Below are 25,765 nucleotides of genomic sequence, written 5' to 3' on the forward strand. Positions count from 1 at the left end.
TAACCTGAAACTTTACTGAATTCATTTATTATTTCTAACTTTTTTGTGTGTGTGGATACTTCGTTTTTTTCTTACAGGTAGGATCATGTCATCTGCAAATAGAGATCTTTTACTTTTATTTCTTCTTCCTGTTTGATTGATCTTGCTAGTACTTCTAGTACTATGTTGAATAGAAGTGACAAGAATGGGCATCCTTGTCTTGTACTGTATCGCAGTGAAAAAGTCTTCAGTTTTCTCTCATAGCTTAAAATGTTAGCTGTGGGTTTTTCATAAATGGCCTTTGTTATGTTGAGGAACTTTTCTTCTATACCTAAAGTGTTGAGAGCTTTTATCAAGAAAGACTGCTGGGCTTTGTCAAATGTATTTTCAGCATCATACCAATTTGTTGCCATGTATTTGTTCATAACGGTCCCTTATTATCTTTTTTAATTTGTGAGGTGTCTGTTGAAATTTCTTCACTTTTATCTTTGATTTTATTTATTTGAGTTGACAATCAGTTGAGATGATCATGTGGTTTTAACTTTCATTCTGTTAATGTAATGTAATGTGTTGATTGCTTTGTGTACGTTAAACAAGTCTTGCATACCAAGGATAAATCTCATTTTTATGCTGTATAATCTTTTTGATTTGTTGTTGGATTGGTTTGCTGGTATTTTATTGAGGATTTTTGCATCAATGGCCCTCAGAGAAACTGGCCTGTAGTTTTCTTTTCTTGTGATACCTTTGTCTGGCTTAGATATCAGGTGATGCTGGCAGTATTCCCTTTATATCTATTTTGTAGAGGAGTATAAGAATTATTGTTATTTTTTTGAATATTTAGTAGAGTTCAGCTGTGAAGCCATCTGGGCCTGGGATATTTTTTGATAGGAGTTTTTTTTTATTATTACTTATTCAATCTTATTATTTGTTATTGACATATTCAGGCTTTTTATTTCTTCCTGACTGAATCTTGGTAGGTTGTATTTTTCTATGAATTTATCCGTTTCCTCTCGGTTATCTAATTCATTGGCATATATTTGTTCATGACAGTCCCTTATTATCTTTTTTAAAATTTCTGGGGTGTCTTGAAATTTCTTCAGTTTTATTTTTGATTTTTGATTCACTTATTGGAGTCTTTTCTCTTTTTTACTTAGACTAGCTAAGGTTTTGTCAATTTTGTTTATTTTTTCCAAAAACTATCTCTTAGTTTTTTTATGTTCTCTATTGATTTACTGATTTACTTCTGTTCTTCTTTTTTTTTTTTTTTTGAAACAGTGTCTCCTCCCTTCTTTGTCCCCCAGGCTGGAGTGCAGTAGTGCAATCCCGGGTCACTGCAACCTTCACCTCCTGGGTTCAAGTGATTCTCCCACCTCAGCCTCTCAGGTGGCTTGTTCTGATTTTTATTATTTTCTTTCTCCTGCTAATTTTGGGTTTAGTGTGTTCTTTTTCTAGTTCCTTGAGGCATAATATTAGATGTTTTTCTTGGGATCTCTCTTCTTTTTTTTCTTTCTTCCTTTTTAATGTACACATTTATTGCTATAAACTTTCTTCTTGGAACTGCTTTTGTTGCATCCCATAGGTTTTGGTATTTTGTATTTCCATTTTCATTTGTCTCAAGATGTTTGTAAATTTCCCTTTTAATATTTTCATTGACCCGTTGCATACTTGTGAATTTTCCAAGATTCCTTCTGTTACTGATTTCTAGTTTCAAACCACCATGGTTTGAAATGATACTTGAGATGATTTCAGTCTTCTTCAATTTGTTAAGACTTGTTTTGTGGCTTAACATATAGTCTGTCCTGTAGAATGTTCCCACACACACTGAAGAAAAATGTGTATTCTGCTGCCGTTGGATGGAATGTTCTATATGTGTCTGTTACACCAGTTGGTCAAAAGTGAAATTCTAAGTCCAGTATTTCCTTATTAGTTTTCTGTCTGATTGATTGATACATTGTTGAAAGGGGGTTTTATTGATTATTTGTATGGTTTTTATATTCTTTGATTTATTTCTGTTTTGATTTTTATTATTTTCTTTATTTTGCTAATTTTGGGTTTAGCACGTTCTTCTTTTTCTAGTTCCTTGAGGCATAAAATGTTAGACTTTTTACTTGGAATCTTCTTTTTTTTTTTTTTTTTTTTTTTGAGATGGAGTCTCCCTCTGTCTCCCAGGCTGGAGTGCAGTGCAGTGGCGCCATCTCGGCTCACTGCAAGCTCTGCCTCCTGGGTTCACGCCATTCTCCTGCCTCAGCCTCCCGAGTAGCTGGGACTACAGGCACCCGCCACCATGCCTGGCTAATTTTTTTGTATTTTTAGTAGAGATGGGGTTTTGCCATGTTGGCCAGGCTGGTCTCAAACTCCTGACCTCAGGTGATCTGCCCACCTTGGCCTCCCAAAGTGCTGGGATTACAGGGATGAGGCACTACACCCAGCCTCCATTAACATTTGCTTTAGGTTTTAGGTGCTCCAGTTTTGGATACATATATTTCCAATGGTTATGTCCTCTAATGAATTGACCCCTTTATCATTGAATAATGATTTTCTTTGTCTCTTGCAACATTTTTTCACTTGAAGTCTATTTTATCAGGTATAAGTATAGCTACCCCTACTGTGTTTTAATTACCATTTGCATGGAATATCTTCTTCCACTATTTCACTTTCAGCCTATGTATGTCCTTAAAGTTTAAGCGTATCTCTTATAAGGAGGTAACATATAGTTAGGCCTTGTTTTTAATTTTTTAAATCCATTCAGCCACTCTATGTCTTTTGATTAAAGATTTTAATTTATTTACATTCAAGGTTATTATTGATATGTAAGGACTTACTACTGCCATTTTGTCATTTGTTTTCTGGTTGTTTTGTAGCTCCTTTGTTCCTTTCTTTCTCTCTTGTTCTCTATTTTTGTGATGTGATAATTTTCTGTAAGCTTTGATTTCTTTCTGTTTATCATTTATATATCTACTGTAGCTTTTTGTTTTGTGGTTACCATTAGACTTACATAAAACATCTTAGAGTTGTAATCTACTATTTTAAGCTGATAACAACTTAGATCATGTAAAAAACTCTATATTTTACCCTGCCCTCCCACAATTTATGTTTTTGATGTCACAATTTACATCTTTTATATTGTGTATTCCTTAACAACTTATTGTAGTTTTAGTTATTTTTGACCATTTTGACTTTTATGCTTCATACTAGAGATATGTGTAATTTATATACCACCGTTATAGTACTGGAGTATTCTGGATTTGATTATGTACTTACTTCTACCAGTAGTTTTATACTTTCATATGTATTCATGATAGTAAATATTCTCCTTTTTTTGTTTTTGCTTGAAGAGCTTCATTAAGCATTTGTTGTAAAGCAGGCCTATGGTAATGAATTCCTTTGTCTTTTGCTTGCCTGTGAAAGACTTTATTTGTCTTTCATTTCTGAAGGATAGCTTTGCTTGGTATAGTATTCTTGGCTAAGAGTATTTTTTTTCTTTCAGAATTTTGAATATATTATCCTATTCTCCTTTGGCCTGCAAGGCGTCTGCTGAGAAATCCACTGATAGTCTGACAGATATTTCCTTATACGTGATTTGGCACTTTTCTCTTGCTGCTTTAAAAATTTTCTCATTTCTTTGACTATTGACAGTTTGATTATAATGTGTCTCAGAGAACATCTCTTTGGGTTGAATCTATTTAGGAACCTTTGAGCTTCAAGGATCTGGGTGTCCATATCTCTTCCAAGACTTGGGAGCTTTTCAGGAATTATTTCATTACATAAGCTTCCTATTGCTTTCTCTGTTTCCTCTCCTTCTGAAAATTCTATAATGTGAATATTTGTTCACTTAATGGTATCCCATAAGTTCCGTAGTCTGTCTCCACTCTTTCTCATTCTTTTTTTTTTTGTTTTTCCTCTGACTGAGTCATTTCAAAAGACCTATCTTCCAGTTCACAAATTCTTTCTTCTACTTGATCCAGTCTGCTGTTGAAGCTATCAAATGAATTTTTTATTTCATTGATTGAATTCTTCAGATCCAAAATTTCTGTTTGGTTCTTTTTTGATATCTATCTCTTTTTTGAATTTCTCATTCAGATTATTAATTGTTTTCCTAATTTCATTCAGTTGTCTATTTGCATTCTCTTATATCTCAGTGAGTTTCCTTAAGATTATTATTTTTAATTATTTTTTAGGTAACTCATAAATTTCCAATTCTTTGGGGTCAGTTACCAAATAATTATTATGCCCCTTTGTAGTGTCATGTTTTCTTGCTTTTTCATGTTTCTTGTATTTCCGCATTTATGTCTGTGCACCTGGTGGTGTACCTCTTCCAAACTTTACAGAGTGGCTTTTGTAGGGGAAGACTTTCACCTGCAGATGGGCCTGAGAGTACTGGTTGAACAGAATGTTCACTGATCACTAGTTCACTGTGAGTGTAATGCTATAGTCTCCATGCAGATTCTTCAGCTGTGATCAATGTTAGCCATGACAGCAGGTGCCTTGGTGGCCTAGGCTGCAGGAGTTTGTGGCAATAATGGTGGCTGCATAGGTTATCAGGGCAAGGGCTTTAGGGAATCCTCTGTTATTGCCTTTCTCAAAGACAATATCAATATCCTCTGTTACTGTCTTACTCAAAGTGGGGAGGCTTAGCTGAGGGTATCTCTCTTAGTATTGGGTCTGACACAGCTCACAGGCAGCCACAGTGGCCCTGGGATCCAAGACGCAGGTGCTCAGAGGGGCTGTGGAGCTGGGTTCTTGGGCTGAGGGTCTTGAAAACCTATTATAGCACCTGGGATGTGGGGCACAGATTCACTCTCCAAGGCACAAGTGAATGCAGTTCTTTCACTAAGCCAGGATCTGTTGCTCTGAGGCACACCCCAGCATCTCAGGCCCAGGGGGATAGAATTGTGCTTCTAACCCTTAAGGGCAGGGTATATATAGTACTGACATGGCTCCAGGAAATAAGGGATACTCTGAAGGCTTGGGCCCTGAAGACAGAGCACAGCTGCAATTCGCAACCTGCAGCCATCAGACACGACAACTTGTGTTCTGGGGTATAAGATATCATGCACTGTTACCTCTGGAACCTGATACAGCAGTATCCCAGGCTCTGTGAGGCCAGGTATAGCAGAAGGAATGAACTAGGAATGGCAAGATGCCACCATGGCTTGGGTCCTAGGAGGCAGGGAGCAGCACAGTGATGGCTCCACTCCTTAGAGAGGCAGAGAGCCTCAGCAACTTGGACTACAGGGGGGTAGTCCTGTTCTAGGTAGGTGGAGCTCTGTGGGTATTTGGAGGATAGGGTGGCACAACTCAGCCAAGGCTCTGATTCCCTGGGACCTGAGGCATTGTGTCTACTTGGCCTTGAAAAGTGCAGCTGCATGGGTCAGTGGAGCCTCTGGATCCCTGTGGGTAGGTGCGGCATCAGCTGTGGTTCTGGGAGGTGCACCTGCTCTGGTGTACTGGAGACTTAGAGCCCCTGGAGGTAGAACGCCGCTTCACCTGTGGCATGGGGTGGTGGTGCAAGACAGCTCCAGTGTGTGGAAGGCCTGAGGTCCCTCGGGGGTGGGGTGCTGCCTCAACTGTGGTGCCAGGGCGTATGACTGCTCTGGTAGTTCGAGGCTCCGGGTCCCCAGTGGTGGAGCACCACTTCCACTTAGCCCTAAGGGGAGGGTGCACCACTGACTAGGATGTGGAGGATGTAGCAGCTCAATAGCTTGATTTTAGGGAATAAAGTGTAGCAGCAGTTTTGCTTGGGATGGCACCAAGTGGGTATGGTGCACTGGTGGCTGAGCCTGAGGGATGCAAGAATTCAGTGGCTACCCACCCCCAGAGCAGGACGCACTGTAGTGTGTCTCCAGTTCCAAGATGGCACAGTACAGTAGCAGCTTGGGCCATGGTGGAAGGGCAGGGAAGAGTGTCAGCTCCTTTTCTGTGGGTAGCTCAGCGTGTGGACTCCAGAGACTTTCTCAATGGGGCTCTGAGCCTGTGAGGACTGCAGGAGTCTCCAGTAGTGAAAATTGCAGGTGTCTGCTTTGGTGATGGGGGCTGCTGGGGTCCTCTTGCTGACCTTTCCCCTGCAGGAAGGGGTCCCTCTTGGTTTCAGGCCGATCCCCACTTGTGGGCTGGGGTGGTGGAGGAGAGGTGCCTCCTTTCTTTTGCTATGTGGCCACCATGTGATTCTGTGCTCTGCAGGATTTTTGCTGCTTCTTTGCTCTTCTCTTGTGCTCTTCTTTAGTTATTTGTTGAAATGGAGTTGTTTATTTATTGTTTTGGATTTTTTTTTTTTTTGGCTGGAGGGGCTGGTGGTGGAGAGTAATAGGAGCTTCTAGTCAGCTATCTTGGTGACATTCTGTCCTGAATCCTTTATTCTTTTGAAGTTTTTCATTCATGCATCTAGTATTCAACATGTTGAGACCCCACTGTGTGCCAGATCCACAGTCAGTCACCATATATCTGGAGGGTTTTTCCTTTTTATAATGTAGTACCAACTCTTCCCTTTACTTGTTTTTACAGGTCTTTGTAAACTCTAAGTGAATGCTTCTCAAACTTCTCTGTGAATGTGATTTCCCCAGGTTGCTTATTAAAGATGTAGATTGCTTGTTCTTTATTCCTAGAGAGTCTGAGTCAGTGGGTCTTGTGTGGAGCCTAGGAATTTGAATTTTTAGCAAATACTCCAGGAGATCCCCATACAAGTGGTCCATGGACAAATACCCTTTGAGAATACTACTGTGGGGTTGGAAGTACAGGTGAGGGAGTGGTCCTTACCTTAGCCATATTAGCACATTGCTCTTAACACTGAAGTTGAGCAGCCCATAGAAAATAAGTGTGTTTGGGGCAGGACCTATAGGGTATGTCCATAGGAATGGAGTATGTGTGCATGGGTTGGAGAGAAGGGGCTGTGGGGAAAATGAAAGGGACCTCCTTCAGCTGGGATCTGCCTTCCCTGCCTCTCTTTTCCCTGAGGAGTCCTGGGTTCCAATGGTCAGGCTTCACGTTCTTCCTTTCCTGGCTTTACTTTGCTCGATGCAGCTCACCAGAGTTCAGAATTAAATGGTTTCCTTTCTTAATGGAATTTGATTTTCAGCTTGTGAAAATATAATCAAGTGGCCTGGCCCTTTGACTGTGGCCTACAGCAGCTACTTACCAGTTTAGACTATCTTGTCAGTGTTAAGATTCGAGCTGTACTTGGAATTCCCAGGAAGAGTTTTTCTTTGCTTTTCTGAGAAACAATAGTTTTCACGCCCATTATTTCCAGCTTAATTTAAAATGTTTGTTGCTTAGGGAAATGGCCTATGCTTGTGCTGGGAGGTCTTTTGCTGAGATCTGAGACTTCTGTGTTTACAGAATGAATATTCTAGCTTGGATGGACAGTTATTTGTATCCCATTCCTATGATGAAAACCAAATGGGAAATAAACCTATGAAGACTAATAGGGGACCGCGCCACCTATGGCAACTCATTTCAGCACATAAATTTGTTTTCTTTTACCTTCAACATAAAAATCCTTTGTAAATCTCCCTTGGTAGTATCCAAAATCGCATGTCTGATCTTTTATGTACGAATCACTTCTGAAAATATCCCTGCAATTTCAATGCTATCTGGAGCAGTTACAGTCCATATTCTATGTAAAGGACTGATGGAGAAAGAGGAATAAATATTATGGCAATTATTACTATGAGCTTTTATTTTAAGCTGCAAAGCCCAAGATTTCTATGGTGATATAAGTACATCAAACTGTATTTTTTCTAGTCACATCTAAACTGGGCAATAGTAGCATATCAATAAACTTCAATTACACTCAAGAAAATACTAAAAGTGAATCTCCAGTGATGCTCAATAAAGTCTGCAGGCGCATTAGAGTTACATACAGCAGTGACATCCATCTGGTATTTTTCAGTGACTTCTAGTCAATTACTACATTTCATCCTGTGTAATCCTCTTTTATCTTCAGTTCCTGCTGGTGCAGTAATTCTCACTCTGCTGCATCTGTGGCTTTACTGTGAATTTTTATTGCCCAGGAGTCAGTGCGTCCCTTCCTGCCCCAGGATGTTGTTGAACTGTATCTGTTGAAGATTTAATCGCAATGTAGAGACACATAGGAAATATATAAAGTGACTGGCAACATCACTAAAAAATGGGCATGCTTTGAAATAAAATGTTGCCTTTCAGTCAAGTATGGATTCCATGAACCTTTGGACCTAGAGTCTGGAGTGTTGTTTTTAGCAGTGTTGTTTTTAAAGGGTAAAAAAGTAAACAAAAGAAAACAAAAAGAAGCAAAATCAATCCTGTCTGATGGTGATCTTTCGGAAAGGAGCTTTTGTACACATTTTATATACATGCTACATTTGTGTAAGTGTTTTATGTGTATATGAAAATGTACATGTGTATAAGTGGTATATATTGTAATTTGTATTCATGTTATAAAATATATTTTATATTTTGGAAAGCCGAATGTATTTTTTAAAAATCCAGGCTTTACTTTTTGGAGCAGTTGTAGGTTCACAGCAAAATTGAGAGGAAGATACAGAGATTTCCCATGTACCCCCTGCAAATTATCTCCCACTGCCAACGCCCCCCACCACATATTCTATTTGTTGTAATCAATGAACCTACATTGACACATCATTATCACCCAAATTCATAGTTTACATTAGGGCTCACTCTTGGAATTGTACATTTTCTGGGTTTTGACAAATGTGTAATGGCATGAATCCACCTTAACCTACCTTTCTGGTAGCATATAGAACAGTTTCTCTGCCCTAAGGTCCTCTGTGCTTCACCTGTTCGTCTCTCCATCCCCGCACTTCTGACGACCACTGATCTTTTTCTGTCTCCATATTTTTTGAGGACATGATATAGTTGGAATCACAACGTGTGTGGCTTTTACAGATTGGCTTCTTTTACTCAGTAATATGCATTTAAGATTCTTCCATGTTTTTTCATGGCTTGATAATAGCTGTATTTTTTTTTTTTTGAGTCAGAGTCTCGCTTTATCGCCCAGGCTAGAGTGCAGTGGCGCGATGTCAGCTCACTGCAAGCTGATAATAGCTGTATTTTTAAAAGAATTAATGAGTAATAAAACAGAATGTATTCATTGTTTAGTTTTTGAGAAAACTTACTTTGTTTGGTTTTGTTTTTAAGACAGAGTCTCACTCTGTTGCCCGTGCTGGAGTGCAATGGTGTGATCTCGGCTCACTGCAACCTCCACCTCCTGGGCTCAAGCCATCCTCCCGCCACAGCATCCCAAGTAGCTGAGACTACTGGTGTGTGCCACCATGCCCAGCTAATATTTGTATTTTTTGTAGAAATGGGGCTTTACCATGTTGCCCATGCTGGTCTTGAAATCCTGTGCTCAAGTGATTCTCCCGCCTCAGCCTCTCAAAGTGCTGGGATAATAGGCATGAGCCGCTGTGCCCTGCCAAGAGAAAACTTATTTTAATAAAATAGAGAGCGAGAAATGGAAGAAAATTGTGAGGCAGTCTTTATGTGCCTCTATCCTTCTTATTCCTTTGCCTTCAACATAAAAATAATTTGTAAGTTTACTTTTCCTCTCTCGTTTCCTTTAGTTTGCACCATTTTTGTTCTCTACTCTCATGCTACTCCTCCTCAACCCCCATGAAAGCCCTTTCTAATTGTACCTGGAAGATGTTTATTAATTCAATCATTTGGTCAGTCAGGCAAGGTGGCCTGCTAGAAAGTAGGGAGGGAGGGTGAAGAAGTTTCAGAGGGACCGTCTCACCACGCACTGTTTTCTGTCCTCACCATGTGTAAACATTCTTTTGATGTAAACACCACACAGCAGGCTTGGCTTGATTTGCCTTATTGCTAAATCTTCCTGGGCCCCTGAAGTTCCAGCTGCCAGATATTTACTCATAAAACCTTAAATCCCAAGAAGGGTGATGAGATTGGCCAGCTCTCCTACAATGACAAGAATAAAGAGAAATTGTTTTGGTTCCATCGATGGCTCCCGTTGCTCAAGCTACAGTAAATAAGGGAATGTGCTGCTCCTCCCAGGCTGCTGAGTGGGAGAGCACCCCAGGGCTGATTGGGAGAGCTCCTGGGTGCTCCTGTCCCCCAAGGCCGGTGTGCAGGCCCTGAATTATGGGCCTCTGCTGCCTCTTCTACAGACTTGGCTCTGGCTGCTGCCGCCTGGGGAAGTAGTTGCTCTGAAGCACTCTCCCTGATGGCACCGAGGTTTTCACATCCTCAGGGTTCATGCTGTGGCTTCCTCTTCTCCGTCCTGAATGAGACAGCGTTATGCCACCCTCGACGTCTGGGCAGTCCAGCTGCTGTAATGAACAGCCCCAGAGTCTCAGAATCTTAACACCTTGCGCATGACAGGGTCCAATGCAGGGTGGCAGTGAAACTCTGCTCCACACAGAACTTCAGGGATCTAGGTTCCTTAGATGTAGTGGCTCTGCCATGTCTTAGGCCCTTGGACCCCTTTGGCCAATCACTGTACTCACCTGATGAGGAAAGTGGGAGTATGGAGGATTCTGTGGGAGGTTTTATTGGCTGGGCTAGAAGTGGCAAACATCCCTTCCACCTAGGGTGACCAACTTTTAGAAAAGTCTGTGGTCTTTTTTCTGTATGAGTTTTTGTTACAACCTACACATTGCACCAAACAACTCAGGTATGGTTAGTTCATCTCTTTCTAAGCTCTTATGGCCTCTTCAAAGGTCATCACACAATTTTGGAGAAATAGCACATAAATGTCTGTATTATTATAATCTTTTTCCCTATTCTTATCCTTGATGTATTTCCAAATTAGACAAGGGCATTCTTCTTGTTCCACTCTCTGAAAGTAAGATTTTACGGAAAGCCAACATTTTAACATCTTTTTTTATGGTGGACCACAATTACAGTTATCTTTTAGGACATGTTTTAGGAAGCAATCTCTTTTCACTTTTCCACAAAGCAAAAAGTCTCATGAAGTGTTTTTGCACATTTTGAGTAAATTGTAAAGTGGCCAAAAACTTTGATTAGGAAAGCCTCAGTATCCCAGGTAAGCAAATCATACCTCTTTCCAGCAGTGTCATGGACAAAGGATGTAGGACATTTAGAAATCAGATCTTTTTATTTTCTTTGGTAAGAAGTTTACAGACTGGATGGAATTTTCCCAAATTTACATTTGCATTGTCTCCTGAATGTGCAGACAGATGAGTAAAGCCTAGTTTGTATTTGGACACGATATATCAACAATCTTCTGTTTTGTATTTCCCATGGTTTCCTTAACATCTTCAAAGAAATCAAGAAGTGGATTTGAAACTCCATTTTTTCACATCAAAGTATCTAAGATCCAAGAGGACATTTTTATGTTGCTGTGATTCTATACATCACTTGGTTTACTGTAGAAAATATGATCACTAGTAAGATCTGACAGGATCAGCCCCATACTCAGAGAGGCTAACACATCTGTTATCAAAATTTTCCTCCTTGTTCATCCGTGAAACAGTCTAGTTGCAACTCTGAATCAGAAAGTTTGGCTTTATTCAGTTCTATAAAGCAATCAAGGGAACCATGCAATGATTTGTGTTCATTCCTGTGTTATGCTCTAATTTAGAGCATTAGCACTAATTAGCACACTAGCTAATTTAGCGGCTACAGTTTTTGATAGGGCATTGGTGTCTTTTGGTGAGAAAAGACAACTTTTGATTGATTTAGATATACCTGCCTCTGTCCTTCTGAACTTGTGAGATTCCATCTCCAAATACGCTTTCATGTTCTCTTCTCCACCAGGTCCGATCCCAAATCCTTTTCTACAGATTGTGCATTGTTATCTCTTTTGATTATTTACCTGCTAATTCAGTTCTATGTGTCCTTCCAGCTGGAATTAAAGTAACAGTCATTTAGCCTTCTTTTTTTGTTTATTATTATTATTATACTTTAAGTTCTAGGGTACATGTGCATAATGTGCAGGTTTGTTACATATGTATACATGTGCCATGTTGGTGTACTGCACCCATTAACTCGTCATTTAGCATTAGGTATATCTCCTAATGCTATCCCTCCCCCCTCCCCCCACCCCACAGCAGTCCCCAGCGTGTGATGTTCCCCTTCCTGTGTCCATGTGTTCTCGTTGTTCAATTCCCACCTATGAGTGAGAACACGCGGTGTTTGGTTTTTTGTCCTTGCGATAGTTTGCTGAGAATGATGATTTCATGTCCTTTGTAGGGACATGGATGAAACTGGAAATCATCATTCTTAGCCTTCTTTTCAGTGATGTCTGGGTCATGCTGGTGTTGATATTGTATTCATTCTCATTTTCATTATCTGAACTCTTAGAAAACATGCACAACAATGGGACTAGTTAATTCTAGTCCTAATCACAACATTCACACTGTTAAATAGTAAAATAGCACCATCTTGACTCAAGGCACAATAGGTAATTCACAGGCAAAGTAGGTCTGTGAAGGTTCACAATTACAATGCACTTAAATTGCAAACTTGAGTCATGTCACTCAAAATGATGTAAAGATGAATGACTCATTACTGTGAACCAAAAATGAGGTTGTCAGATCAGTGGTTGGGGGAAAAAACAGTGATGACAGCTATGGAAGGCTGATAATCTTTGCCATATCTTTTTGCCACTAAAAACAGCGTTGCTTCCAGCTTCTATTTTTTGAAGAACTCAATGTATAGTCACCACCCTGGTTTGCCCAAGAAGTTCAAACCCTATCCATTGGGAGTTTGTACTTCTCGTCCCAAACTTCTGCATTCATTGCCAAAAATCTGGACTCTTTGTGTCATGAAGAGGGATTTTTTGGAAATCAGACTTTCAGCACTAAAAAGGGAAATTCCTGGGCAAACCAAAGTGGTGACTCACTCTACTAGCCACTTATATTGTGATAGCCAAATATGGTCACATGAATCCAACCACAACTGAATTTATGACTAGTCGAGTGCTCAGGAAAAGAGCAAATGTGTTTACTAAGTACCTCATAAGACTGCTTTATCTGCCTTTTTGCTTAGCTAATTCCTATTTATTTTTCAAATTTTATTTCATATGTAACCTCTACTGAGAATCCAAACTTGCACAGTCAAATCCTTCTCATCCCATGAGTTTTTCTATCATAATGCAAATCCTTCCCTTTCCTCGTCTTTTCCTCCCATATCTCTCCATCTCCTGCCTTCCTCCTCTCCTTCCCTCTCCCTTCCTCCTTTTTCCTTTCTTTCTTCCCTCATTCTTTCCTTCCTCCTTTCTTTCCAAAACTATGTATCGTACCTCAACTGTGGGCCAGATTCACTGCTAGGTAAGTCTATGTTTACCTTCATAGGAAACTGACAAATTGTCTTCCCAAATGTCTGTGCCATTTTAAATTTCCACTAGCAATGAGTGAGAGTTCCTGTTGCTCCACATCCTCTCCAGCATTTGATGCTGTCAGATTTTCGGATGTGAGCCTTTCTACTAGATGTATACTAATATCTTCAAAGTTCTAGTCTAGCATAGGGCATGCTATTGTTGGAATAAATCAATGAATAATGAAATGGGACAAAAAAGAGTATTTTACTACTTATTCTTCGAGGTTCCTCTGTTACTGAAGCAGGCTGCATTTGGACAGGAATTACAATTAGAAAGGGATTGCAAGCTTAAATGCTTACAAAGGGAAACAGAGTGAGTGTAAGGGCAGGAGAGAATGGGAGGAACTGTGGCAATTTGGAGACCCCAAGATAATCAGTGAACCCAGTTTTGCCAGATTTTCCAAATTTTGAGGTTGAGCCATAAAAGCAGATTTATGGGAAATCTCCCAATTTGTCAATGTTAGTAATCAACTAAAAATTATGAAACACTGTGTGGGATAGACAATACCTGTTTGTAACTAGATTGGAATGGTGAGTTATTGGTTTTTAATCTGTACGTTTTTTAATCTCTTATGCCGTAGCATTCAAGCAATGCATCCTCTATAGCTTAAGAGTTTAGTTATTATCTGGCTATTATTTCTTATTGGACATTATTTTGATTATTTAAGATAATAAAAATGAGTTTGGGATATTGGGGTTAGAACCGATGAGAAGAGGAAAATCAATGTGAAGATTTCTGTGTTAGAGGAGAAGCTAGAAAATGTGGCTTTATGGCCCTTTAAAAGCTTACTTCAGGGAACTACAGTAGTTAATGGTTGATTATTGGAAACTTTGTAAGTGTGAGAACCCTGAGTTAGGAAGTGACCTGGATCAATCAGCTTCATCTTGGACTGTGGATGTTTAATTTAAGCCACTGCCTTAGGAATTTTGAGAATCTTTCTTTTTCCGTAGTGGGGTTTTATGAGGAAAAAGAATTGGACAGGCCACCAAAGTGGGACCGGCCATTTTAATGGCCATTTTTGTTTGTTGTCTTCCTAAACTTTTTTCCTCCTCATGATGTATCAAATGTGTTCATAATTTATGGGGAGAGAAGAAATTATGTATCATATGCAATTATCTGGTAAATATTTATGAATTCTCTGCTTTTTAATATGAGGGTGTGAAAATAACTTAAGTCCTGATTGCAAATTAGCAGTTACATAAGCCTGGAGAAGACAGCAAGAAACTCACGGTTCTAAAAAAACAGGTCTTTGTTTCTACACAGAAATGTTCCTGTTAAATTGTCTCTCCTTTTTTGACATGGTTGATTCCTCTGTTTCATTACTTTTCTAATAAACCCCAAAGCTGTGCTGCAGCAGAACCAAGATATGCTCTAACTGGGAATGACATGATACATGATACAACACGATACAAAATGCATAGTAAATAAATAAATAGTTCTGTGTACCACATGGAATGGACAACCAGTGAGAAAAACACCCCTTTCTAATATTACTTGAATTAAAAGGCTTCCCAGGCTGGTGAGCTGAGTTAGTGAGGGCCCCCTGAAGAGGCCATGTTCTGACTTTCCCAAGGGCCAGTTAATTTGGCTGAGTTCAGTAATCACTGCTTGTGTCTCTGGCTCTGCAAAGTCATTTGGAGAACATGTCTTCTTCATCATTAAAGAAACCAAATATCTGAACACTTGGGCATTGCTACTTCTGGCCAATCCACTTAAGAGTGCAAACCCTATTGATGTCTTTGGTCAATACTGTTATCTCCATACCCAAAGAAAACAGTCTATGGAGAGAACCCCACTTATCTGTGTGATAATGGCCTCCCTTGACCTTTAGAGCCTCAGCTTCCTTCTCAGGTGGTTAGCAGTTAGAATTTAGGGATGTCATGTCTGTCTGTGAAAAACTCTCAAAATGCGAAGGGCTGTACAAATCCCAGACAGCATGGTTGCCTATGGTTTTCACCTTATGGAAGATAATCTCTTGTCATGACAATAGCTTTAAATGGAAAATCTGCATTCTAGCTATTTCAGGAAGTGAGATTTTGGTCTCATTTGGGCTCAATACTATAAACAAGTGGAGGTGTTCAAAAGCTCCCTTTTAACAGAAATCTGTGTTTCTCTACTAATTATCCATTCCATAGTTGTTCAGATACAAGGCCCCAAGACAGCCGTGGTGGAGCCCCTGGCTCACTTTTGGGACTGTCCAATTGGCCCCACTCCAACACGCAAGCTGCACCTTCTGAGGCCTTTTCTACTGTGCTTCCAGCTAAAATTTGATTTAAAGAAAAAGCTTTGTTATTACAAAATTGTGTTTAGAAACCATTGAGAACATTCCAAACTATACCATGAAAATGCAGTGAGCAACAACCAGACTTCAGGAAACCCTACAGGATAAGTGGTCTGGTCACTTTGGCAGATATATTCCAAGGGGAAAAAGGGATGTCCCCATGTATTCTACCTGCTCTCCATCAATGCTTTCCTCTCTCTTCTGCAGAAATCAGTTATTTCCTCTCAAATGAATCTGTGCCATAACATACGGGCATGTTATTATTTTTCCTATCTTAAAAAAAATATTTCACCTGACTTGACTGAGGCTACCAAGGGCATCTCTTCTTTGCAACAAAACTCTTTCAAAGTATCATCTATAATTGCTACCAATTCCTCTCCTCTCCTTCTCTCTAGAAAATACTCCAAACAGGTTTTTGCCTCCATTGAAACTGTTCCTAGAAAAATCTAGTGGTTAATCTCCGAGCTCATTGTACTTGACCTATCAACAGAAATTGACATTCTTTCCTGGAAACACTGTTTGTCCCTGGCTTCCTGAACACATCTCAGCTGATTTTCCTGCAATCATTCTCACTTTTTTTCTCTCTCATTCTTTTAATTTTTTTCCTGGTTTCTCTTCCTCTTCTTGGCCTCTTACATGGTCTCTGCCCCAAGACTCAATTCTTGGAACTCTTCTCTTTGCCATCTAGTCTGCTTGCCCAGGAGAGTTCATCAAAGTTCCTGTCTAAATATTATCCCTATGTCGAGGACTCTGCCTCCCATCGATTGCAGTCCTTTCTCTATAACTGCACACTCTGTCTCACTGGGATGTGTAGTAGATATCTCAAATTTGAACATGACCTGCACGTGGCCCCCACATTTCCCACCCTGTCCTGCAGGAACCAGTTTCTGCTCTCGTGAATGGCACATCTGGTCCTCCGTGTTGCAGATTAAACACCTGCTGTTAACTTCATCTCCTCTCTTACGCTAACACCAATAATCTGGTTTTTAGCAAACCTTACTTTTGGCTCTACCTCCAAAATATATGCAGAATGTGGCCACTTCCCCACTCCTTGCAGCCACTCTGATCCAAGCCACCATTGGATTTGACTGGATTTTTCTAACAGCCTTTGCTTCTGCCGGTGCTTTCTATCATTGGATTCTCACCTCCACAGCCAGACTGAACCTGCTTAAACCCAGGTCAGGTTGCTTCTTTCCCCGATCAAAATCCTCCAGTGATTCCCAACCTAGTGCAAAACTAAGCTTCTCGGCTGGGTGCAGTGGCTCACACCTGTTGTCCCAGCACGGCCGAGGTGGGCAGATCAGAAGGACAAAAGATCGAGACCAGCCTGGCCAACATGGCGAAACCCCGTCTCTACTAAAAATACAAAAATTAGTTGGGTGTGGTGGCACGTGGCTGTAATCCCAGCTACTCAGGAGGCTGAGGCAGGAGAATCGCTTGAACCAGGGAGTCAGAGGTTGCAGTGAGCTGAGATTGCACCACTGCACTCCAGCCTGGCGACAGAGTGAGACTCTGTCTCAAAAACAAAAACAAAATAAAACAACAACAACAACAACACGCTAAGCTTCTCACTTTGACCCACACGGCCCTGGCAACATACTTTACTTCCCTGATGTCATCTCCCATGACATTCCATCTTGCTCAGTGGCTCCAGACATTTGCCTCCTGGCTCTTCTGCAAATATCTGCAGGTGAGCTTTACTTTCCTTAGTGCCTTGCTTCTCCTACCAGCATGTAAATTCCATGAGCTTATTGTTCCTACTCTGTGGAACCCCTGTTCCCAGGACAATGCTTCACACAGGGTGTGCAGGCATTGAATATTTGTTGAATGAACAAATAATTTTCAGTGTTGGAAAATATGTTTAAATATGCATGTTAAAAATTTTAAGGTAATTATTTAGAGAATAGAAGTAATAGAGGTAATAGCCAAGTAATCAGAGGAGAAAAATGGAATAAAGAAAACTTTGTAACAAGAAACAGGGAAAAAAATAAAAAGGGTGCACAATAAACAGAAAACCAAAACAGAATTGCAAAAAGGAAAAACATGTCAGGAATCACAATCTATGCGAATAACACGGCTTTCTCAGATTGAATAAAAAATCCAGTTATGAGCTGTTTACAGGAGGCAAATATAAAACCAAATGATGCAGAAAGGTTGAAAATAAAAAGAAAGAAAAATACAAACCAGGCAAACATTAATAAAAAGAAAACAGAAGTAATAATGCTAAAATGACAAAATGTAACTCAAGGGTAAAAGCATTAAGAAGGAAAAAGAAAAGATGTTTTATATTAATCAAAAACACACCATGAAGATAAAAGAATCATAAAGCAATTTACAGTGCCCATCATAGTTTTGACATATAAATAAAGCAAACAATTGAAAATCTACATTCATAGTGAGAGATTTTAATACTCTTAGAAACCGACAGATCAAGTAGACAGAAAATGAAGATACAGAGTATTTGAAAACCATAACAGGTTTTTTGGGGGCATTGAGTGAAAATTGTGCTCCAAATATATATCTAGAGGATCACGAGGATTTAAGAAACAAGAAGACATATGTGGAGAAAATAAAAATTATCACACATTGTATAGATACTGTCTGAACAGAAAGAGTCAATTAAGAATCCCAATCCATTTTCTGATCTTTTGAAACATCTGGTCCTAACATTGCGTAGAGCAGCGGTTCTTGCAGTGAAAGCCCTGGATCAGTTGCGTCAGTGCCGCATGGCAATTTGTTAGAAATGCAGACTGATGGGCCCTAGCCCCAGCCCTACTGAGTCAGCAGCTCTGGGGATGGGCCCAGCTTTAACTAGCCCTCTGGGGGCTCTCACGCCAGCTCAAGAGTGAGAGCTACTGGCACAGATCAAAACTCAGAAGCCCACCTGCCTTCCTGGGTTTGAATGTCCTTGAAGCAATAGAGAAATGAATGTGCACACACTGTTCATATGTCGATTTCACAATATCCCTGAGAGTCTGCTTCATGGTAAAGGCCTGGGACTCGTCTTAGATCATCCTGACACTTTCCTGGGAAATTATGGCCTGAGTCTTTATAATTAACTTTTCTTTAAGAGAAAAGAGGTAAAATAATCAGTGGCCCTCATGCTGAAAATATTAAAAGTGTAAAAAAATTGAAATAGATGGATTAAAATAAATCAGTTATGATTTCTTATGCCTGAATTATATGCCTGGATTATGGACAAAATTTTCCCCTGTATCCATCTCTGGGTTTCCATTGGTTGCATCTACACTTTCAGCATCTCTAGGAGGTCTTCGGATGAGCCTTCCCCCAGGGAGGACACTGAGGACCAGGCATAACTGGGTAGAGAGGGAAATTAATGCCCTTTTCTTGAGACTCTTCTCCATGCCTGAGTGCCAGCCTTTCTCTGCTTCCCTTCAGGGACATGCTGCCCAGTTGAAATGCCTAAAACTGCTTCCTGGGAGCATTTGCAGTAGTAAGTGAAACACCTTTGGAGAGCATTTGTTTAAAAAAACAGAACAGCGTCATACATGCAAATTAAAATTTGTGTGTATCCGTACAACTATTCAAAGATGCATATCCAACACATCACAGTGGAAATCTGTGGAGAGGAGAGAGTTAGGGATGAGGGTTGTGGGGAAAAACAAAAGAAAACAGGAGTAGGTCCTTGTACAAAATGATTATTGTAATATGTTCTAAATCCAGAGGTATGATGTGATGGTTAATACTGAGTGTCAGCTTGATTGGATTGAAGGGTGCAATATTGATCCTGGGTGTGTCTGTGAGGGTGTTGCCAAAGGAGATTAACATTTGAGTCAGTGGACTGGGAGAGGCAGACCCATCCTTAATCTGGTGGGCACCATCTAATCAGCCACCAGTGAATATAAAGCAGGCGGAAAAGCGTGGAGAGACGAGATGGACCTAGCCTCCCAGCCTACATCTTTCTCCCGTGCTGGATGCTTCCTGCCCTCGAACACTGGACTCCAGGTTCTTCAGTTTTGGGACTCAGACTTGCTCTCCTTGCTCCTCAGCTAGCAGACAGCCTATTGTAGGACGTTGTGATCGTGTAAATTAATACCTAATAAACTCCCCTTTATATATATGTGTATATATATATCCTATTAGTTCTGTCCCCCTAAGAGAACCCTGACTAATACATAAGATTAATTCAAATCTCTGTTCCTGAGGTACTAAAGGCAAAAAAAAAAAAAAAAAAAAAAAAAGGTGGAGTTGAGCTATTCCTAATCTAAAAACTGATGCAATGTGGGAGAGGTAGTTTCTTTTAGAAATAACTTGTACTAGCTAGCTTTCAAATGGAACATAATAAATTTGTAAACTCATTACAAGTTGACTTAAGCTATAGGCCTGGTGTGATTTCAGGCTTGAAAACAAAGAAATAGTTCAGGGTTGCAATAGGGGGCCATGACTCTGAATCTTAGCTGAGCCTCTTACTAGCTGTATTACCGCATACTTGGTACTTAATCACTATCAAATTCAGTTTTCTCATCTAAAAAAGGGATAATTCTATCCACTTTACAGATTTGTGCAATAGTTGAATGTGATACCATACACGAAGGTATGTTAGGTACAGAATAGGTGCTATATAAAAGCTTTGGTGGAGAGAAGTAAGACAGGATGGGAGCCGTACCATCTCAACTGGTTTTTCAGAAGGTAATAGTATTGATTACAAGGAAAAGTTTGGATAGGAATGGTGAAGTCTTTGTGAACTGATTAATTCTATTGGAACCTCATTAGCCCTACAACTCTTCCGAATGATTCTTGATGTCGTGCACCATGCTTTTTGCGGAATTCAGTTATACAGATATGTGAGAAATAAGCCATCTCCCTCTCTCTTCTCTTCCTTCCCTCTATTCCTTCTTCTCTGTCATAGTGAACATGCTTTTCTACTGCGTAGGGCTTGACATATGTGTTATTATGGCTGTCAAAAGGAAGCCAGACCCAGAAGCTGCTGCCACACTGTGGTGTAACTGTGAGTGTGTCCCTTCAGTGCTCATAACAATGGAAGAGTTTATTCTTGATAATCTCTTAGGTCCTATGTCACTCTAATATTTTAGAACTCTGCATTTAAAGAATAATACCCTCTATCAATTCCAAGTCTAAGGAGGAGTCTTTGATCATGGTGAATTAATGTGTTACTTAGCTTTGCTATCCAAAGTGTGGTCTGTAGACCAGCAGATCACCATCATTTGGGAGCTGATTAGAAGCACAGAATTTTAGACTTTACCCAGGTCTCCTGAATAAGAATTTTCACAGGATCCCGAGGTGATGGATGTCTCATTAAAGTTTGAGAAACACTGCTTGAAAAACCACAACTCTTCTTTGTTCATATAAAATTCGCTGCCTTCAGCTTCAAAGTGTGTCTCCAGAAGCCACATAAAATTTCATCAAATTCTTGTGAGGAGGCTCACATTTTGACCATTTTTATAAAGAAAAACCGAGTTGGAGAATAAAAAGGGCTTGCTGAGGACTGGGGAGAACTGTCGCATAGAGAATGTGACCACAATCGTGCTCAGGCAGCCGTTGCCATAGGTAATGTTGGGATTCCCATTGCAGCCACATCTGCCTTTTGATACCTGAGCTAATTAAACATTAGAATATAGTGTGTTGTTTGCACAAAATGACGCCCTTTGAAAGTTGTCGAAGTTTCTTTGACATGAGAGTGGCTGATTTGTACAGTGGCATCTTAAAGACTTGATTAATGTTGTTCTATTTATTTTGACCACCCCGATCTTTAATTATAAAATTATACAGTTTAAAACGTGGCTGTCGGCCCCCGTCTGTGCCAAGTTTAACTGAACACATTTCTGTCTGGTCTCTTGTCACACTGTGGGCTTCAAAATCAATAAGCAAACTGCCTTGTTCTCAGACTCTCCATCCTCTCTTCTGCAGTCAACAGTCATAACTTTTTGAGGACACATGTTTATTGCTGCTGCTGGGGGCAGCTGCTCTTGTACCCACTTTCAAATGGGCTGTGGAAGAGACAAAGCTCATCTGGCTGCTGGTGAGTAGATGAATGTGAGCCGCTTCTCTTAGGCCATTGGTTTTTTTTTTTTTTTTCTTCCACTAGTTTTCTTGGAATGTGAATTCTCCCGCTATACAGAGGGAATTGCAGGTAGGCAATAAATAGTGTGTCTACCTAAACCACCAAGAAATGCATGGGGAAAATGAAAGCTTATGAAAATCCGATAACAAGTTAGAAATGCTATGGTGTGATTTTTCTCTTAAAGTTCTTCCTTTTATTCTTCATATCCTGCTTAGTTTTGCATCATTCGGCAACCTTTCTAGTGCTTGATTTTAAAAAGAAAGTGTCTCTGTCCCATCTTGTGTCCATATTTGACTCCTATGCTCTAAGGAAACCAGAACAAGCTTCAGGATAGAAGTGTGGCCATATCATGGGAAGTAGTAATTGGACAAAGTCCCTTTCAAATACCGCTGAAAGCAGGTGGTAGTTTTAAATGATACATTCCCTAGACACAGTTTTGCTTGATGTCTTTCTCTCTTACCTGTTTTTTTCCTTCCTTATCATTTTTGGATGTATTTAAAATGATTGTATTTTGGATTTCAGTTTTATAAGATGTTTAAAAAAATAATTGGAGGCCAGCCCCATAATTTTTATTGTATAGATAGTTTTGGCTTTCCATTCTTAACTCTTCCAAATAAAATTTCCACCATGCTTTTTAACACCTCATCTCTGGTGAAAATTAAAATGTTGTTTAAAATCACGCCATGGAAATTTTGTGCAAAATATGAAACTTTCACACTCCTTGATGCTATTATAAATCATTCGTATTGAATAAGTGTCAAAAATGACTAGGATTTAGGAGCTTAGGGAATGAAATGTTTTTTTCCCATTCTTTTCCGAAGAATTGTAACGTAGTCTGAAGATCTTGAGAGTTAGGTTTTGCTGTTCTGTGATGATGGAAATGTTCTTTGTGCTGTCTGAAATGGTGGCTGCTGGACACATGTGGTCACTGGACACTTGGAATGTAGTTAGTGCCACCGAGGAACTGAATTTTAAATTGTATTTAGTTTTACTGCATTTAAATTTAAATAGCCACATGTGGCTGCAGCTGCTTCTAAACTGCGACAGCAGAGTTGTATAGTTACAACAGAGACTAGTCTGCAAAGCTTAAAATATTTATCATCTAGGCCTTTCCAGAAAAAGCTTGTCAACCCTGGTCTAGATCAATGTTCAATGGAGTAGGACCCATGGAGAATAGGCAAAAGTAGTCAGGCCAATCTAGAGATACTTCATATTGGGCACATATGGAAAATGTTCATCTTGAAAATTATGTTAAGAGATTGGTAATTTTTTAGCTAGTTTTTTTTTTTTTTTTTTTTAAGACGAAGTCTCACTCTGTTGCCCAGGCTGGAGTGCAGTGGCGCAATCTCGGCTCACTGCAACCTCTGCCCTCCGAGTTCAAGCGATTCTCCTGCCTCAGCCTCCCGAGTAGCTGGGATTACAGGCGCCTGCCACTGCACCTGGCTAATTTTTGTATTTTTAGTAGAGACAGCGTTTCACCATCTTGGCCAGGCTGGTCTTGAACTCCTGACCTTGTGATCCACCTGCCTCGGCCTCCCAAAGTACTGGGATTACAGGCGTGAGCTACTATGACTGGCCTTAGCCAGTATTTTTTTCTGTAAAATGTGGTTAATGATTATGGTAAAATTTCAGGAAAAACAAGTGAAAAGTAAAAGTAAATTTCCACACATCTATATACTATATGCATACATATGTGTGTTTTTGTATTTGTTATAGAACAAATTATATTATTCCATATGTGATGTCCTACATATTCCATGTTGCTCCCATTTAACACTTTATTTGAATATTTTAAATAACTCAAACGTTAATCCATCCAAGGTAAAATCTCATTTCAATGATCATTTCCTTCTTTTAGAAGAGCAGTCTTACTTGCTGAGTAATTTTTGTAGCATTTGTGCTACAAACGTAGAAACAGGAGTTTCAAACGTTTAGCTATGCTTGAAATCTCAAGCGAAGGTTTAATTTAAATTTGGAGTACACATATCCACATATTTACATATGTATATAAACATGTATGTATTTATATGTGTACTCCAAATATATGTATACGTATAGTATACACACATAGTATATGTGTGTATATGTATCTATGTATACTCCAAATTTCAAAGATGCAATTGTAATGATATGTATTATTAGAGTTAAACTGAGAGAACATTTAAACTTACTATTTACTCTTCTATCTGAGAACAAGCAAAGTGAGAAACTTGACATGTGGGACAAGAGATTTTATTTGAATCCTCAAAACAATAAATGCAGGTTTATTTTCTAAATACTGGGATCTGGGCATGCTGTATAAGAAAGACATTGATTCAACCAAATTCTTTGGGCACTGATACGGTGAGGGCTAACAGGGCTAATATAAATGGAAGATATGGTAGTGTCTTGGTTTATGGTCTCTCCGGGCATACAAATCATATGAGGATAAAAAGGTAAAATGCAAGACAATACATAATTAGGAATCACCTGAGTAATATAGTAAATATCAGGGAATATCTCTTGCCAATGCTCAATTTTCACTGTGCTATGGCCCATATATTTCAACTAGACACTTTGGTGTGAAGCGCAAGGACAAGAAATGAGTTGTCAACATCAGTCTGGTTTATGGGAAAGATGAAAGACTTGGTGAATACAGTGGAGGGTAATGTACAAGGGAAAGAAAGCAACACAAAAAGCTGAGTGGTAGGAAAAAAGAGAGGGAGGTTCCAATAATAAAAGGTAAAGAGATAGAGACTGCACTGGTGTGATGGAAGTCCTGCAAAATTTTCAGTTTTCCGCCCATAGTCAAACTTTGCCAAAAATGCATAATATAGATTTAAATTACGTTGGAAGAACAAACCTCTCAGGCTGTATAAATGCAGCCCATGGGGCTAAAGAACCTGATCACGTCCAGAGTAGAGAGATAGGAAAACTTAGGGGAGGCAATTAGCAGCCCATATATACTTAATGAGCTGTTTTAAAGGGTACAGGTGACAATTAGCCTGGTACTTACCCTGTGCCAGAAGGAAGTCATTTCAGTTACTACCAAGGTTGGTCTGTGCAGATTGCTATAAATAATACTTTCCTTTGGCTGGAAATGACTCAGCAATGTCCTTTCTCAACCCCACTGTGTCATTAAGAGGCTGTGAAGGAAACTCATTCCAGATTCCCTTGGGACAAAGTGAGCATGCAGTGAAGGCAGAGAATGCCTTTCCTTGGGGTCAGGAGGGCCCCATGAGCAAGATATGGGCTGGCAATGTGATGACAGTAGTGTCCTGCATTCCTGAATGGGATGACAGCAATGTCCTGTATATCCTGTTTTGGGATAACACAGAGCCATGTTGGGAGACTGAGGCCATGGTCACGTGACCTCAAGCAAGTCATGCAATCTCTCTGCAGATCAGTTTCCCCACCTAGCTCATACTCCGTAAGAGGATATGATCATCAATAATACTTTGAAAAGATAAAAAAGAGAAAAAAAGCCCTATACGTAGTTAAGAAATCACCAATACATGCTTTAGAGCTAGATCCAAAGGTGAAGATCAGAATTAAATATGACCTGGGCTGGGGGAAGAAGGTGTCACTTAAGATATTCATCCCAGATCCAGTTGAATCCTCAGTCTGGAAGCCATGTTGGGATGAGAATCTATTCCATGGATCTATCTTTTGCTTTGACTCACATATTGGTAGAGTCTATAGATATTTCTCTGGGAAAAACTCTACCCTGGGCTAACTTGAAAAGGCATCATCCCATCAGTGTATCTGTATGAAGGTATATGTAGTATTTAGCAATAAGTAGTGGTGTTCCTTGCTTTTGAAACCAGGAAGGGTGAGCCCATAAAGTTAGTTGTGGAAATAAACAGACAACTCAAATAAGAAAAGCAGAGGTGATTTATTCAGAGTTTGATGTAGCAAGAGAGTCAGCCACCATCACTTGCATTTGGCAGAGACTCAAAGGTAGGCAGGGGAGTGGGAGAGCTTTACAGTGGGCAAAAAGGGACAGCTTCAAGTGTGTCCTGATTGAAGGCTGTTGACATAGGGAAGCTGGCTGCAGCCAACTTCCCAGATTACAGCCAACAACCCAGATTACTGGGGTCAACCCCTAGAGTTTCTGCTCCTATAGGTCTGAGGTGGGAAGTGGATACCTGCAGACCGGAAAAGTCTATGTAAGGGGTTGGGGGCATATTTG

At 39.9% G+C, this 25,765-nt stretch overlaps 1 long non-coding RNA gene across 1 annotated transcript in view, besides 1 other annotated feature; it reads left to right on the forward strand.

Moving 5' to 3' along the window:
* Positions 1–25,765, forward strand: part of NALCN-AS1 (NALCN antisense RNA 1) — a 350,962-nt gene that overhangs the window by 154,828 nt on the left and 170,369 nt on the right. The gene's annotated exons all lie outside the window — the stretch shown is intronic.
* Positions 18,143–18,437: an enhancer, noted in NCBI's record as "tiled region #9290; K562 Activating non-DNase unmatched - State 24:Quies, and HepG2 Activating non-DNase unmatched - State 24:Quies". NCBI's record gives its function as "activates a minimal TATA promoter and a strong SV40 promoter by Sharpr-MPRA in K562 cells, with weak activation in HepG2 cells {active_cell/tissue: HepG2 | K562}" and the evidence as "EXISTENCE:reporter gene assay evidence [ECO:0000049][PMID:27701403]".

The sequence above is a fragment of the Homo sapiens genome, chromosome 13 (genome assembly GCF_000001405.40).
Source record: "Homo sapiens chromosome 13, GRCh38.p14 Primary Assembly".
Classification (NCBI taxonomy): domain Eukaryota; kingdom Metazoa; phylum Chordata; class Mammalia; order Primates; family Hominidae; genus Homo; species Homo sapiens.